This window comes from Homo sapiens, chromosome 1, assembly GCF_000001405.40.
Source record: "Homo sapiens chromosome 1, GRCh38.p14 Primary Assembly".
Lineage (NCBI taxonomy): Eukaryota > Metazoa > Chordata > Mammalia > Primates > Hominidae > Homo > Homo sapiens.
This window is the reverse complement of record NC_000001.11, coordinates 195,987,719-196,006,112: the sequence shown is the minus strand read 5'-3', so window position 1 is coordinate 196,006,112 and position 18,394 is coordinate 195,987,719. Positions and strand designations below refer to the sequence as shown.

The 18,394-nt window shown below is 35.1% G+C and overlaps 1 annotated feature.

Moving 5' to 3' along the window:
* Nucleotides 2,880–3,380: an enhancer, noted in NCBI's record as "H3K27ac hESC enhancer chr1:195971863-195972363 (GRCh37/hg19 assembly coordinates)". NCBI's record gives its function as "activates a minimal SCP1, AML or CMV promoter by ChIP-STARR-seq in naive H9 embryonic stem cells {active_cell/tissue: H9 hESC(naive)}" and the evidence as "EXISTENCE:reporter gene assay evidence [ECO:0000049][PMID:30033119]".

Sequence of the window (18,394 nt, the reverse complement as noted above, 5' to 3'; positions counted from 1 at the left end):
AGGCCTTAATTATTTGTGAGGTAAAATTTAAAACTATCATTGATTGCCTGCCCATTTATATAGCGCTTTGCAGTTCTGAAATCATTTTCACATGTGTAAACCAAGTAAAAATATTGTTTTGATATTAGATATGATCCACTTAAGTTTTACAAATGAGACTTAGTGTAAGAAAAGAATAATTCTTCAAAGTACCTTGAAAGCACATTTCTCATTTCTAAATTGAACCATGAACTTAATAACATGGGCCATGATATACCCTGATAGGAATTGAGGAAAATGAGATAAAAAAGACAGTTCATTCTTGCTAAAGGAAAATTAAAATAACACTTTCTGTATATAACTTTCTAATTTTCATGACCTATCTCTTACATAATTACTAGAAGAGAATATTCTTCCCATCAGACAAAAGACAATTTAGCACCATAATGATACTACCTCTCAGCATCATTAGGCTACTTGATAGAGGATATGATTGATGCTTATGTAAACTCATTAACCACAGGAGGTCTACTCAAAATAGTAGGAACAAAATTCTGTTCACTAATAAACAGAATTGAAATGACCGGCTATTAGTTTAGCAGTGGTGAATGGATACTTGGAAATGTAATTTCACTTGATTTAGAGTAGTACATGACTACTCACTGACAAGTTCAGAATGCTATTAGGCCAGTTAATACTACAACCTGAAGTCACTTTATCAGAATATGTATTTTTTCAAATAATATTATGGACTAAAATAGTTATTATATTATAAAGAAGAAAAAATATAGTTGCGGGAAGTCAGGGACCCCAAACGGAGGGACCGGCTGAAGCCATGGCAGAAGAATGTGGATTGTGAAGATTTTATGGACATTTATTAGTTCCCCAAATTAATACTTTTATAATTTCTTATGCCTGTCTTTACTGCAATCTCTAAACATAAATTGTAAAGATTTCATGGACACTTATCACTTCCCCAATCAATACCCTTGTGATTTCCTATGCCTGTCTTTACTTTAATCTCTTAATCCTGTCAGCCGAGGAGGATGTATATTGCCTCAGGACCATGTGATAATTGTGTTAACTGCACAAATTGTAGAGCATGTGTGTTTGAACAATATGAAATGTGGGCACCTTGAAAAAAGAACAGGATAACAGCAATTGTTCAGGGAATAAGAGAGAGAACCTTAAACTCTGACCACCAGTGAGCCAGGCAGAACAGAACCATATTTCTCTTCTTTCAAAAGCAAATGGGAGAAATATCGCTGAATTCTTTTTCTCAGCATGGAACATCCCTGAGAAAGAGAATATGCGCCTGGAGGTATAGGCTTATAAACAGCCCCCCCAGGTGCGCCTGTCTTTTATGGTTGAGGCTGCAGAGATGAAATAGACTCCAGTCTTCCATAGCGCTCCCAGGCTTATTAGGAAGAGGAAATTCCCACCTAATAAATTTTGGTCAGACCAGTTGATCTCAAAACCCTGTCTCCTGTTAAGGTGTTATCAATGACAATGATGCCCGAAACTTCATTAACAATTTTAATTTTGCCTTGGACCTGTGGTCCTGTGATCTCACCTTGCCTCCACTTGCCTTGTGATATTCTATTACCCCCTGTTAAGTACTTGATGTCTGTCACCCACACCTATTCACACACTTCCTCCCCTTTTGAAAATCTCTAATAAAAACTTGCTGGTTTTTGTGGCTTGTGGGGCATCACGGAACCTACCGACATGTGATTTCTCCCCTGGACGCCCAGCTTTAAAATTTCTCTCTTTTGTACTCTGTCCCTTTATTTCTCAAGCCGGCTGATGCAAAGGAAAAATAGAAAAGAACCTACATGAATATCAGGGCAGGTTCCCCCATAAATATAAAGTTAACCTTGTGAATGTAAGTTCAGTAATGTTAAGTGTTTCCATGATCTAGTCCTGTGATTATAATAGACTAGAGAATTATAATTTTCATTTTAGAAAACTGGAATCGTGCTGCAAATTCTATAAATGAGATATCTTACATCTTTTCCTATTATTCAGTATTACCCAGTATTAACCGTGAGAGGTAAAGATATCTTTAAGAAGGTCAAAAATGAATATTTAACCTATCCACGAGAACATCTCAGATGAAAAATTTAGTTCAGATGGTCTATTCTTTTCTTTTAGAAATATTTGATAATACTAATAATTGATCTGAAATTTCTTTACAGCTGTAAATAATTTAGATAAGAACTTTTGATAGTTGGGGTTCAGTATGGCCAAAAGACAACACTTTTAAAACTCCGCAGCAGTAAAACATCAAGAATTTAATCCTGATGAATTAGTGTGGTTCTCCAACATTCACCCCTTAGAAAAATACAATATTTAAACCTCAGTGATTATTACTCATGTCAAAATAAACAATTACTTTCTACCTGGATAGTCAAAACCATTCAAAATCAAATATTAACATGGTAAATAAGAATCTATCACAGGCAATGATAGTTTTACTGCACAAAAACTATAGGTACACATATCTAATATTTATCACAGTAAGTTTGTGGAATGAATATTTTAATTCCTTTTTTACACTGGAGTAAAGGTAGAGGTAATATTAAGATGTTAGTATAATCAGAGGTTGAGAAAAGTTTCCCCCAAAAGAATCAACTAGATGTAGAAAAAAAAATTTTCTCCACCTATTTATAATAAATATTTTGAAAGGACTTCAAGGAAAATAAATTATCTTTGTATTTTGGATTTTCCTTCATAGAAATAGCTAAACTGTTAGGATTGGTTTAGGATAACAGCGTGGCATACTAGAATAGAGCCTAATAGCATTGAATTTAAGATACTACTTGCCCGTGATCCTTGTTCAAATTACTTAATGTGTCTGCAGTACAGATTTGCTTATAGAGCTTGTGACACTGACACGGATAGGTTGTCTTGAGCACTAGTAGATGAAAGGTATGTAGACTCTGGGTGTTAGACCTGCATATTAGTCAGCGTTCTCTAATGGAACAGAACTAATAGGATAGGTGAATACATGAAGGGGAGTGTATTAGGAAAAGTGACTCACACCATCACAAGGCGAAGTGTCACAATAGGCTGTCTGCAAGCTGAGGAGCCAGGAAGCCACTCCAAGTCCCAAAACCTCAAAAGTAGAGAAGCTAACAGTGCAACCCTCAGTCTGTGGCCAAAGGCCTGAGAGCCCCTGACAAAGCACTGGTGTAAGTCCAAGGGTCCAAAACCTGAATGTAGGGAGATCCCCTGAAACTATTGCTATGGAATAAAAGATGAAATGCTCCTGATTACTGTAAATACAAAATTGCATGCAGGATTGTGTAAAGACAACGCCAGGTTGGACTGCCAGAACAAGCCAACAGCATGTGATGTGCTTCCCCCTGCAGAGAGCCTATGAATGCACGTGCAGTCAGGGAGGTTTCACATCACCAAGATTCCTATCCCAGAAAAGCAGATGTTCATAGCTCTGGGAATGGAATGCAACCCTTGTGGAGAGCCTGTAAAAGGACGCATGGGGGGTGCCTGTCCATATGGATAAGATAGGGCTATAAAGGCCCTCATCTTGCCATGGCTCTTCTAGGCCTCTTTAGGGTTAAGGCATACTCCCTTAGAATTTCTGGTCTAACCGGTTGTCTAGCTTCACGGCCTGTTTCCATGGATTGTTTGTAACCACCCTTTGTTGCAATTATTACTGCTGATTAATATCTTGCTAATCATAGGTTATGGCAAGATTGTGTTTCTGTTTTAAGGTTCTAAGGTGACGCACACACTATATTGTAAATTCTTATCTCTGTATACTGTACTTCTACATACAAATGTACTGTACTTCTACATACAAATGTTATGTTAAAGAATTACTTCATCGCCATGTGACCATCTCACCTCATAATCAAATGACCCTAAATCCCTCACTAACCGAAACCCACCCTCACTAAACTTAATAATAAATGCTGGTATATCCAGTGCATCGTTGGCACTATGGGACCAGAAGGTGGTGACCCCCCTGGACCCAGCTTTCACTATCTTGCGTGTGTCTATTATTTCTCAACCTGCCGATCCACCTGGGAACAAAGAGAGAGCCCCGTTGCATTGCGGGCTGCTGGTCAGATCCCGCAATGCCTGAAGAACTTGGAGTCTGATGTTCAAGGGAAGGAAGCATCCAGCACAGGAGAAAGATGGAGGCCAGACAATTCAGACAGCCTAGGCCTTCCACATTCTGCCTATTTGTATTCTGGCTGCACTGGCAGCTCATTAGATTGGGCCCAACCAGATTGAGAGTGGGTCTGCCTCTCCCAGTCCACTGACTCAAATGTTAGTCTCCTTTGTCAACACGCTCACAGACACACTCAGGAACAATACTTTGCATCCTTCAATCCAATCAAGTTGACACCTAATGTTAATCATCACAAGTCCATCCCTTGTCAACTTGAACCCATACACATCTCCTGAAATTATAGATATAATCTTCAAATAAAGACAATAATAAGGTCATAATTATGCCTAACATAATCCAGCTATCCTTCGTACAACCAGAAGCACACTAATCTTTAACCTAAATGCTATTACGTAAAGTTAACAACACTTAAATGTTGATATGAAGTCAATAAATCTTATGTCATATGATAAAGAAAAAGGAAAGGAAATAAAATGTAGATATTTTCTTAGCTCAAGTGCATACATGCACAAACATGTTCTTAACAAAATAAGGAGGAAATACTCATGACAATTACCATCCTCGTTTCTGCAACTGGTCACGTGGTCATAGCTGGTACTGATGACTACCTTCTACTACTCATTCTGTACTGCCTTTGCCTTCAGCAAGCACCTCTGCAGATCATGGTTTTTCACCTAGTGGAGTAACCCAAACCTTCATTCCTGAAGGGTCTGGGCCATTTGTAGTGCTGCCTTGATTGGGTTGTTGTAATTTCCCATTGACCTTAATCAGAGGGCATGGTAATACTAAGAGATGCCCTAAGGGATCTCCTGTATTCCACACATACTCTTTCTTACATCTATTGTGGAGTAGTAGACTGATTTCGTTTTGATAGTCTGGGTCAGTCACCCCAGCCAACACCGTAACTGTCTTCTGAGCCTGTTGACTTAGAGGTAGGAGGATCCCAAAGTGACTAGGTGGCAATCATAACTTCCAGTTTAATGAAATCACAGTTGTGTCTCCTGGTGGCAGCATTTTTCCCTCTGGAACTAAGACCTCTATACCAGCAGGATGTAATGTCACAGAAACAGGAAGCAAAAATTTTGCTTGTGGGTCACTAGGGGTGATGGTGAATGGTGCCACTTCCACTTCTACCCCTTGATTACTGAACCCATGAATCCTGGTTCTGGAAGAAACAGTACTATATATTGGATGCTGATTCAGAACATACACAAACTTCTGGAGAATTTTGCCCCAGCCCTGCAAAGGATTGTTACCTAGTTGGAATTGTAATTGTGACTTCAAAAGGCCATTCCACCATTTTATCAATCCAGCTGCTTCAGGAGGATAGGGAACATGGTACGACCAATAATTCCGTGAGCATGAGCCCACTGCCACACTCCTTTGGTTGTAAAGTATGACTGCCTTGGTCAGAAGCAATGCTGTATGAAATAGCATGAAGGTGTAGAAGGCATTTCGTGAGTCCACGGATAGTAGTCTTGGCAGAAGCATTGAGTATAGTATAGGCAAATCCATATCCACAGTAAATGTCTATTTGGGTGAGGACAAACCTCTGCCCTTTCCATGATGGAAGAGGTCCAATATAATCAAGCCGCCACCAGGCAGCTGGCTGATCTACCCAAGGAATGGTGCCTTATTGAGGAACAAACCAACCACTTCAGTGTTGGTCTTTGCTACTGGCAAACTGGGCACTCAGCAGTGGCCATAGCCAGGTCAGCCTTGGTGAGTGGAAGTCCATGTTGCTGAACCTATGCGTAACCTCCATCCCTGCCACCATGGCCATTTGTTCATGGACCCACTGGGCAATGACAGAGGTGGCTGGGGAAAGAGGCTGAGTTTTTGTCCACAGAACAGGTCATCCTATCCACTTGGTTATTAAAATCCTCCTCTGCTGAGGTCACCCTTTGGTGAGCACTCACATGAGACACAAATGTGTTCACAGTTTTTGATCACTCAGATATGCCCATCCACATATCTCTTCCCCAAATTTCTTTGTTACCATTTTTCCAATCATGCTTCTTCTAAATCCCTCACCATCTAGCCAAATGACTGGCTACAGCCCATGAATCAGTATATAATCACATATCTGGCCATTTCTCCTTCCAGGCAAAGTGCACAACCAGGTGCACTGCTCAAAGTTCTGCCCACTGGGAGTATTTTCCTTCACCACTGTCCTTCAGGGATGTCCTAGAAATGGGCTGTAGTGCTGCAGCTGTCCACTTTGGGGTAGGCCCTTTTCTTCTCTTCCTCTGTCAACTGATCATAGGGAACTCCCCATGAAGCCATTAGTGCAGGCTAGGGGAGAGAAGGCAGGGCAGCAGGAGTGGGGACCATGGGCACCTGAGCCACTTCCTCAAGTAACTTACTTGTGCCCTCAGGACCTGCTTGAGACCAATCACATATATACCACTTCCATTTTATGGATGAAATGCTGCTGTGCATTCCCCACTTTATGGCTTGTTGGGTCAGAAAGCACCCAGTTCATGATAGACAGTTCAGGTCACATGGTGACTTGATGACCCATAGTCAAACATTTAGTTTCTACTGAAATCCAGTAACAGGCCAAAAGCTATCCCTCAAAAGGAGAGTAGTTATCTGCAGAAGATGGCAGGAACTTGCTCCAATATCCTAGAGGCCTCTGCTGTGAAGGCCAGCCAAAGGCTCCAAAGGTTCCAAACAGCATCCCCATCTGTCACTGACACCTCAAACACCATTGGATCTGCTGAGTCATATGGCCCAAGTGGCAGAGCAGCTTGCACAACAGCTTGGACCTGTTGCAGGGCCTTCTCCTGTTCTGGACTCCACTCAAAACTGGCAGCCATTTGGGTCACTTGATAAATGGCCTGAGTAACACACCCAAATGAGGAATGTACCGCCTCCTGTGAGTGGTGAATCAAGAGTATTAAATGCATTTATTTTGCGTTGACTTTCTAAACAGTTCACACTAAGGACTATCAGTGTTCTCCATACTGTTAGAAGTAGAGTTCTAGCATTCTTAGGTCTAATCATATTAAGCAGCCAAGTCCAGAAACCCCAAAACTAACTAAAGAAATCCATCGTTAAAATTCTGTTTATCTAGAACCACTCCTGGTACCAAAATCTGCATTAGTCAGGGTTCTCTGAAGAGTCAGAACTAAAAGGATAGATGAATATATGAAAGGGAGCTTATTGGGAGAATTGACTCACACAATCACAAGGTGAAGTCCTATAATAGACTGTCTGTAGGCTGAGGAACCAGGAAGCCAGTAAACATCCCCAAACCTCAAAAGTAGGGAAGCTGATGATGTAGCTTTCAGTCTGTGGCCGAAGGCCCAGGAACCTCTGGCAAATCACTGATATAAGTTCAGGAGTCCAAAACCTGAAGAACTTGATGTTCGAGGGCAGGAAACATCCAGCACAGGTGAAAGATGGAGGCCAGAAGACTCAGACAGTCTAGTCCTTCCACGTTCTGCCTGCTTTCATTCTAGCTGCTCTGGCAGCTCATTAGATGGTACCCAGATTGAGGGTAGGTCTGCCTCTCCCAGTCCACTGACTCAAATGTTAGTCTAACCCTCGCAGACACACCCAGGACAACACTTTGCATCCTTCAATCGAATCAAGTTGACACTCTGTATTAACCACCACAGCCTGACACATTATAAATAACTTAAAATGCAGAAGGAGGGGTTTGCCAATAAAATGCAGGAATTATAGCGGGCACCTTTTGCCAGTAATAGGCTTGTCCTCTGCAATCACTCCTCTTCCTCTCAATGAATATCACCCATTCCATCCTCACTGGATTCCTTATCCAAGAGCTGTATGAGTCAAACCACTCCCTCTCAAAATCTGTTTTTGTCTTCCAACTATGCCTGTTGACTAGGCCGCACCTTTTAAAAAATCTATTTGTATAATATATATTTTATATTTATATTCTTTTTTAATTTTTTTATTTTAAAATGTGAAAGTCTGGGCCCCACCTAAGATCCGCATAGTCAAACTCTGAATCAAAGCAAAAAGAACAGAAAACTTGAAACTAGATAATCTGCTTTTGGTACTCATGTACATCACTTTCTTTTATTTTGGGCAAGTTTATTAAACACTGAGTCTTGCTCTGTTAAAAAATCTTTTAAGCACTTTACAATTTCTAATGAGGATTAACTTGAGTATGTAATAGTGCTTTGTAAACTATAAATGATATCAAATTAACATTTTACTATGGTTACAAATATTACTATTGGGATATCTGTTTTTATGGAGTTTGACATATTTTAGATTTTACCATCTGTCTCTCTTTTCTAGAGTTCCCATTCTTCATTAGACTGGCTATGGTTACCCTAAACTCTCCTTTCTAGTTCTTCAAGCCAGAAAGGTAGATTTTTCTCCTGGAGTTTTGGCAGTCCCACATGATACAGACTATGTTTCTTCATATTTGGGCTTTGGTAAAGAAATACATTTTCTGGCCACATGAAATCCACACCTGACAAAGGATAAAATAATTGGAACTCATTTTAGGAGCTTATAGCTTTTTTGAGTTGTCAAGAGCTGTTATTTCTCTAGTCAGGTGAGAGATAATATTTCTGGCAATAGTAAGTTTGTAACTGCTACATCAAGCTGTCTTAAAAGGAAAATATGGCAATTCTCTTTGTGCAGCTAACTAGGTAAAGCTACGAATTTTATCAGCTGCCACTAAAAAGCCCAAGCCAATTCACTGCTACACTACACTACACTACAAATCACACTCCCAAATTCAAACCAACTTTACCCATTAATAACAAAATTGTTTATAATTAAAAGCATACATTCTTCTATTGTAAATCTGATGATCACGCAAAGGAAAACACACTATATGGGGTATAAACGCCAGTAAAAACAGACACAATATCCATTTTCCTCAGTTTTATCCTGCATCAGCATCTACCTGTCAATGAAATAGAAACAGTGAAACTCTCATTTATTTAATATCCACAATATATAAGACCCTTAAGTTTATTATGTTTTAAAATTCTATAGCAACATTATTAGGACATTTATTTCTATCTTAATTTTACAATGAGGATCATAAAGTGAAATAAGTTTTCTATCATCATACATCCTGATGGGAGGTAACATGGGATTCACATTTATGGTCTAATTGGTTTCAAGGCTCATGCTATTTCCACTATACCATTTTACTGATAAACCGTGCAATTTTAAAACAATAAGAGTTACTATGGTAGATAAAAATGAGCTTTCTAAAAATACTCCTTTAGCTGAGTCCAAATTTAAAAAAAAGAATAATTTTACCTAATATGCCAACCAGATGTTTTTTAAAAATATTGTATGGGTGCATAATATTTGTCAATAATATTGCATGTACCATATCCTTCTTCCTTAAATTCATATGTGAATAATTTTTTAATAAACATGTATCATCGTGTATTATTTAATGATGGCCCATCCCGATTATGTTTAATGACAAAGAAATTTAAAATGTAGAAATAAGACATAATGAAAAAGATAGTATAAATTCACTATTAGTATTATATATCTAACAAGAGCAATAATTTTTGTGATCTTATGCATCCTAAGTTCTAGACTTATTTTAAAATCCTTTGACCATTTCATCACAGATCATCCAGTGTCAAATTTTACTATTTGATAATATTAATATAATGGAATTCATAGGTCTGTATCTAGCCCCAGAAAAATCCTGAATACATTTTCTAGCTATATGACTCTAGGCAAGTCATCCATTTTACACTTATTTTTCTCAGACTAAATATGGGAAATAATATTTGCCTATATGGAAAGTTTGTTGAAAATTACAATTTATTCATTAAATAATATATAAATTAATGATTAATTTACAAATACATTATATGATGTCTATCACATGCTAGACATCTTGCTGGTCACAGGGGATACAAAAAGAAGTATGGCAAACCTTCACGAGTGAGACACAGCGATATGCAAAAATAAGTGCATCTTATTTTGGGATATGCACAGCCCTATTACAGGAGGACAATAAAGGACATCTCACCTAGCCCGGGGAAATTGCGTAAAGCTTTCTGCAGCAATTCTTTGACTAAATTTTAATCACTGAGTATAATTTAACTAGGCAAAACTCCAGAAACAAATGACAGCAAGATATATGTGGAAAATGTAACAAGCATTTGATTGTTGCATTATAATACATGAGAAAGTAGTTTTAGAGGAGTCTCAAAGACAGGCATTACTGGAAATTATTTTTACAATGTATACTGAAGTTTTAGAGTTGCATTTTCACTCAATATATTTACATATTCAAATATAAAAAAACAGAACTGTAAAAAAAGATAGGCATAAAACCTTTTACTACAATAACAATTATAATAATGTTTTGAAAGACATACTTAGATCTCTTTACCACAAAGTACAACACATTACGGTGACTGTATTTTCAAGGAATATTTGATAATATTGGAAACTGTTTATAATTATCATGTTAATATGAAGATGTAGGAAACAGAGATTATTCACATGTGGGGGCATGGCTGTTTTGCAAAAAAATCTGTTTATTTATGGATAGCAAAATTCTTATAAAGTGATGCATATGAATGTTCATCGTTTCACCCAGTAGAATAAATTTGTATGAATAATACATACTACTAACAGTGTGTTTTGTATATGGTAAATGGAATTGCAGATGTTTAACTTTTCTTCTGCTTCTTGTGTGTATCTTTCAAAATTTTATATTAATAAGATTTCAGATGAAAAATTATTTATCAAAATATAATTTAAAAGCAATTAGATTAATAAGCGTAAGGCTTCTAATACTACCAGAATATGAGATATGAATGCAAATATAAGATAAGTAATCAATTTTTCGTGATAATTCAAGTATGATGAGTTAAAACATCTAGATTACTTTATTAATATTAACATAACACAAAAGTGATATAAATTGGGAGTACATGGGATATCTTATAATAATCTCTTACCTAATAGCATCCTACACATTTAAGCATATCATATAAAAATAGGAAATTGCTATTTTAAAATTTGCACATATTAAAATATTACTTTTAGGACAAACAGCTGTAAGATGATATAAAATTCTTTTCAGGCCATTATTCAAAGATACAGTGACTGGTAAAATCACTTAAGGTATATTTATTTATTCAATGGATGGATGAATGAATGATTTGGAGAATATACTCTTTTTGCTAATGACGACAGTTGTTTAATAAGTTAGGACTTGATTTAAAAGTTACAGTTAATATATTTGTGTTTACCAATTATGCTATTACTGTGATTACTTAGTATTATTGCAAATCAATCTATCTCTATGTTACATTGGCCTAATTTATGCCAGATTGGCCAGATTTAGCTAATAGTGGGCATACAATTATTTGCAATTATCAATATCAAGCTCATTTCAGTTTTGTCAACTAGTTTCAAAGCTGTAATGCCCCTTGTAAATAAACCAAAATGAAACCAAGCCCAACAGAAAATCCAAACTTGAAGAAAAAGAAAAAAAAAAGAAAACATGTAACCTGAGACCATAAAGAAACACTAAATGAACTTAACACTACTATTCAATTAGCTGACTCTATCTTATTTTAATATCCTTATAGAAGAAAACAATAATGATAGAAAATGCATAAACTACAGGATATGAGCTGAGAGTTAAAGTTTACTGTTTTAAGCAGTAAGGGAATTTTCTACAAATGGAATAAATAAAATTTTAGACTAGTGGACTAAATAACAAATTATTTAGGAATAGCCAGGCTTAGAACATTATTGAATTAAACATATCTGAGATTTGCTACAATTACCAAACCATAAAATTCACTTCCATAAAAGAAAAGCTATTTTTACATGAAAAATTAGGAGAGTCTCCAAGGGAAAATCATGTCTACCACAGACAATTTTCTATAAATAATTGTTTTTTCTCTCACTTCTTCACTATCAACATGTCCAAAAATTTACAGTTAAAAATGTAACTGCTGCTCATAGAAAGAGAACATAGAATATAATGAATGATCCACAAATCCTCTGCAAGTACAACTTCTCAGGTTATTCTGAGGCTATTTCCTATACAGTGTGAAAAAGTAAAAGTAAAAGAGTAAGACAAGCATAAAACTCAGAGAAGTAAAGCAAACATGATATAAATCACTTTAGAAAAGCCTAACATCAACCATGACTGACTCTGACCAACATTTTTTTTTAATAGAAGCTGATGATAATAAATTGGGACATGTTGCTAATGCAGTTTATAGTAAAACAAAGAGAATGATAGAAAATTTCAAGAGGCAATGAATTTTTACTTTCCATCTCTAATCAAAGGATGGTAGCAGTTGGTACATCCTACTATGCACAAAATGTGTGATACACAGGAATTTTAAAAGAGCACGTTTTTACTACTTTTTATGCCTAAAAAAACACCAAGTTAATTTTTTATAACACTACTAGAAAAGCAGAAATAATTAAGATTCATTCTGTTTTGCCTTAAATTCAACTTAAATTTCAAATAGTTTTGTTATTATACAGTAATTTAATTTTATTTCACTATTTTTCTTTCACTAGCTAAATTTCCGTAATATTTGGATTTTCTTTTTTCTCCAAATAACTCAGCTTACAATTACTAATTGGCTATGCTCTTTTTAGAAAAGCTAATAACAATCTGAAATTCCTGAGATAACAAGATTCAAAATTAATACGTATCAATTGTGTTTTTACTGTTTGGATTCTACAGCTACTGATCTACGTACATTTTCACAATCTAGTATAAATATGTTTCAATAATGTCTATACAGAAACATTGCAGTAGATTTTATAATTAAATTTAAATGACCTTAGACTATTTCAGGAGGATCATACATACTTAAAAACATTAACAGAGAGTTCTAAGAGGTTAGTGATAATTTCTCCTTTTATATTCTCACTTCTAAAAAGTCTGTGTTAATCTTGCTTTTTATAGTAGCCATAAACATGGGATGTTTTGGAAGCTCAAAATATGAAGTTCATAGTTTTGTAGATGGCTGTAAAAAATGTACAAGATAAAGATTCACTAAGGAAGGGATTTGAGTATGTCTTGAGACAAGTCTTGAGAAATAGGAAGTCTCCTGAGGGATATTAATTCTTTTCACAGATATCTTTATGTATATGGCACATAGTGGGCTTTTTGTGTTATGCAGAGCATAGAACCCTAAAAATCAGAGACAACTTCTACCCATGTGTAGCTTACAGACTAGAAAAGAAAGACATTCCTGGCAGAGGGAACAGCATAATTAAAGGCTCAAGTTGCAAAATAACTTGCGGTGTTCAGAGAATTGCAAATAACTTGCAATGGCTGGAATAGAGTATATGTGGGTGAGAGGAGCAGAAGAAAGGAGTAGAAACTATCCTACGTAATCATTCTAATCAGATTGCAAATCCTTCTTCTAAAATTCTAAATTACTGTGGACTTCATGGGTAACTAAGAGTAGACATTAACCATAAGCAGTTTTGCCGTGTTACCTATCTTGTACATTACCTTGTTTTAATTCTTATATTTGCCTACAGATATGAGACATTTAGAAAACACTAGATAAAAGAGTATCTATGGCTTTCTAAATGACTTCTGGGGTCATTGATTAGATCAGTGATAAACAGGATTTTACCAAATGTAGATTGATTTCAGAACTCTTATCTGAGTTTTGGGAGTTGAACATTTCCTAAGCTTACTTTTTAGTTTTTCCCAGTAATTGATTGACTATGTTGAAAATAACTGATAGCTTATAGTGAGTCTTTCTATGTGCCCAGCACTGAGGGAGAGACTTACATATATTAATATGAATATCTACAAAAATATTGCAATGTAGTTATTATCAATACATATTAGCTCATTTTCATGCTGCTATAAAGAACTTGGTTATTTATAGAGGAAAGAGGTTTAATTGACTCACAGTTCCACATGGCTGGGGAGGGCTCAGGCAACTTATAATCATGGCAGAAGGCAACTTTTCACAGGGCAGCAGAAGAATGAGTGCTCGGCAAAGGGGGAAGCGCCTTATAAAACCATCATATCTCATGAGAACTAACTCACTATCACGAGAACAGGATGCAGGGATATTGCCTCATGATTCACTTAGGTCCACCTGGTCCCTCTCACGAGACACGGGGATTATGGGAGCTACAATTCAATATGAGATTTGGGTGGGGACACAGCCAATCCATGTCACAATACTAGTTTAGAGAAAAGAAAACTTTGTCTGAAAGAAATTAAGTAACTTTCACAATGCCACCAAATAAATTCCAGAGCTAAAAATAAACCTATTTTAGTCCGGCTCAAATTTACACACACACACATATAAATAAACATAAATGCACCCTCATTTTTTTATTACACTACACTGTCACTTTAGTTTGGATAACCTATATTTTTTGAAATTTAGATAATTTAGATTACCTGTTTTTCTTGAAATTACTTTAGCAATTTTAATGGTTTAAGTTTTGGCAAACTGCAAATGAGAATTTAAAGCTATATACCCTTATCAGTAGTATCATAATGAAAGCTAATAATTTTACATCACTCTGTACTTCTCTAGTCCATGCTTATTAACTATGTTTGCACAGGAAGTATATGATACATTCATACTGACCCTTATAGCTCCTAATTAAATGGTGTGATGGTTAATACTGAGTGTCAACTTGATTGAATTGAAGGATACAAAGTATTGATCCTGGGTGTGTCTGTGAGGGTGTTGCCAAAGGAGAATAACATTGGGGTCAGTAGGCTGCTAAAGGCAGACCCACCCTTAATCTGGGTGGACACAATCTAATCAGCTGCCAGTGTGGCTAGAATATAAGCAGGCAGAAAAATTTGAATAGAGAGACTGGCCTAGCCTTCCAGCCTATATCTGTCTCCCGTGCAGGATGTTTCCTGCCCTAGAACATTGGACTCCAAGTTTTTCAGTTTTGGAACTCAGACTGGCTGTCCCTGCTCCTCAACTCCTATATATGTGTGTGTGTGTGTGTGTGTGTGTGTGTGTGTGTGTGTGTGTATATATAAATATATATACATATACATAAATATATATGCATATATAAATATATATATAAATATATATGCATATATAAATATATATATAAATATATACGCATATATAAATATATATAAATATATACACATATATAAATATATATAAATATATACACATATATAAATATATACACATATATAAATATATACATATATAAATATATATACCTATATAAATATATATACATATATAAATATATATAAATTTATGTACATATACATATATATATAAATATATGTACATATACATATATACATATATAAATATATACACACACACACACACACACACACACACACACACACACATATATTCCATTAGTTTTGATCTTCTAGAGCACCCTGAGTAATACAAATGGTTAATTCATTTGGAATAACTCAGTACATTGAATTTGAGCTTTAAAGCAAGACAAAACAAGTTGCTATTTTGTACATGGACTATGCATCAGACTAGTCTATGCATAGTTTTTATAAAATAAAAACTTTAGTAATCAAAACATTCCTTATTGACTTTTTTGGAACACTTTAAATGTCTGGGATTTCAGCTTTATTCTAATTATATTCTCTAATTGAAATTTGAAATGAAATGACAGGCTTAAAAGAGTTTGAAAATACTTTTAAATTCTTAATTATTTACTCTGTCTTTAATCTCCTTTTTAAGTAATTCAACCATTGGACACGTCAAAGGTATCCTGTGTCAGGGCTCCCTCAACACAATTCTATGTAATCCTCGAATGAATGAGAGATAAAGGGGTCTCTATCTAAATCTCATCATGGCATACACAAAATTTTTCATGGATGCAGTAGTTAAGAGAGGGTACTAATCTGCAGATAAGATTTCAAGTCACTCCTCAAAACCTATTAATATTTGTCATTATCCTGGGTATATTTGGTTTTGGGTATAAATAAAGCTTACTAACCTTTCTCTTCTTCATTACAGCACTTATGATTATAAAAATATTGGTTATCTTTTTATCTCTGATATCTTACTGAATAAGATGCCATGTCTACAAAGAAAATGAGATTGAGTATCTTCAGATATTTGTATTTTTCTGACTCCTGAGCGCAAATAAAATTCATGCTAAATTCATTTAAAAATGCACATAAGAATGCATACTATATAAAATTCATATTTGTCATAAAATATATAATAAGCTATGTATAATATTAATTATAAATTCCATGTATTATACATTATATATGTACATATGTTCTGTATGCACTTACTATATGGCATATAAATAGAAAGATTTGAAATATATATAAGGATTATTTGATATAATACTATAACATACAACATATTTTTCTTATATATATGCTGTATAGTATAACCTCCAGTATTAATCATAGTCAAACTGTGAAACACCATCCTATTTGCATATATATATATTTAATTTGCTCTAGGGAAATTAGAATAAGCCTATCAGAGTAATTAAGCTCCGATTCTCTACATATCTGAAGGCAGTGAAGTATAAAGAATGAGAAATTGAAACATAAATAAACAATATTGTCATTTAAGCTTATGCTGAAATTTAGGTAGGACTCAAAAGGCTAGCTCATTGTCTAAAATCTTCATGAATACTTACAATAAATATAGTTCTAATTCTGTTGCTGGCAAAAATTTATTAAATCTATAACTATTATTTAAAATTAAAGACACTCTTCCATTTCTTGTTATTCTGAAATGCATGAATCATCTGAAAACAAAGGTTCACAACCACCTATATTATCATGAGTGGTAATCAGAGGCAAAAATGATGCTTACTGAGTTTCTTTGTACCTTGTGAAACTTTAAAAAGACATTCATAAATCACTGCTAAGGAGAAAAGAATACTGGATTAAGTGGATTAATATCCCAGTGTTTGGTACAAACTTACTGACCTGATTAATTATATTTAAAATGGTTTTATTAAAACATTTGCTGGTGATATATAAGGTACTTTTAAGATGAAGTGAGCTTCTATATACAAAAGCAATTTGAAAATATATAAACTTGAAGCAAATTTATCTCGACTGAGATCAGTTATTATAGTTCTAATTAAAATGTAGCAGTCCACATGAGAGAGTATTTCATGAACTAATCTATAAGAAATATATAATAAATTTAATTCAAGGACAGGTAAATCCCTTCTTTTAAAACAGAGTGGTAAGTCGCTGATGTTTAATCAGCATTAATAATCAAAATTTTCTCTTTCTAATTTTATATGTTATATCCACTGTGATAATTCTATCTGTATCTATATAGATACAGATATAGACTATATATATATTAGACAATTCTTGCATTGCTTAAAGAAATACCTAAGACTGGGTAATTTGTAAAGAAAAAAGGTTTAATTGGCCCATGGTTCTGCAGGCTATACAGGAAACATGGCTTCTAATGAGGCCTCAGAAAATTTCTATTCATGATGGAAGGTGAAGTGGGAGCTTGCATGTCATGTGGCAAGAGCAGAAGCAAACCAGAGTGAGGGGATGGTGCCACACACTTTTAAACCACCAGACCTCCTGTGAACTCAGGGCAAGAGCTCACTTATCACCAAACGAATGGCCCAAGACGTTCATGAGGGATCTGCCCCCGTGATACAAACACCTCCCACCAGGCCCTACCACCAGCATTGGGGATTATAATTCAACATGAGATTGGGGCAGGGACAAATATCCAACCTATGTCAATATACATATAAAATATAGATGTATATTCAGACATAAAGAGTCTGATGCTTCTTCTGGGACTCATTTTAAGAGAGCAAAGCATTTAAGGAATTCATAAATTAAAATGAAGTAATATGTTAATAGATATCCATATAGTCCACACAAAAGGTGTCTATAGCCTTTTATAAATACCAAATACTGACACCAAATAATTATATACCCTTTTGTAAATAACCGCTTTTGTAAATACAAAAATATCAAGGTTTAGAGGAAAATCTAGACACACGTTATATTGTATCTTGGGAAGATGGCAAAAGTCTCATATAAATAATATTTATATATTTTGACTGGCAAGGAATAAAAGAAAACTGTTTTTGCCATCTCAAGAGCATACACATTGAGATAATTAATTTTATTTGATTGCTAATAATTTCTATATGTTGATTCCTCAAGTATTTATAGTATTCTATATGATGCCTATAAGTCAATGTCTGCAAATACTATATGGCATTGCATTTATTCCAAACAGTTAGGAGAGATTGGATATCATCACTCAAGTAAACATAAAAACAAAAAAA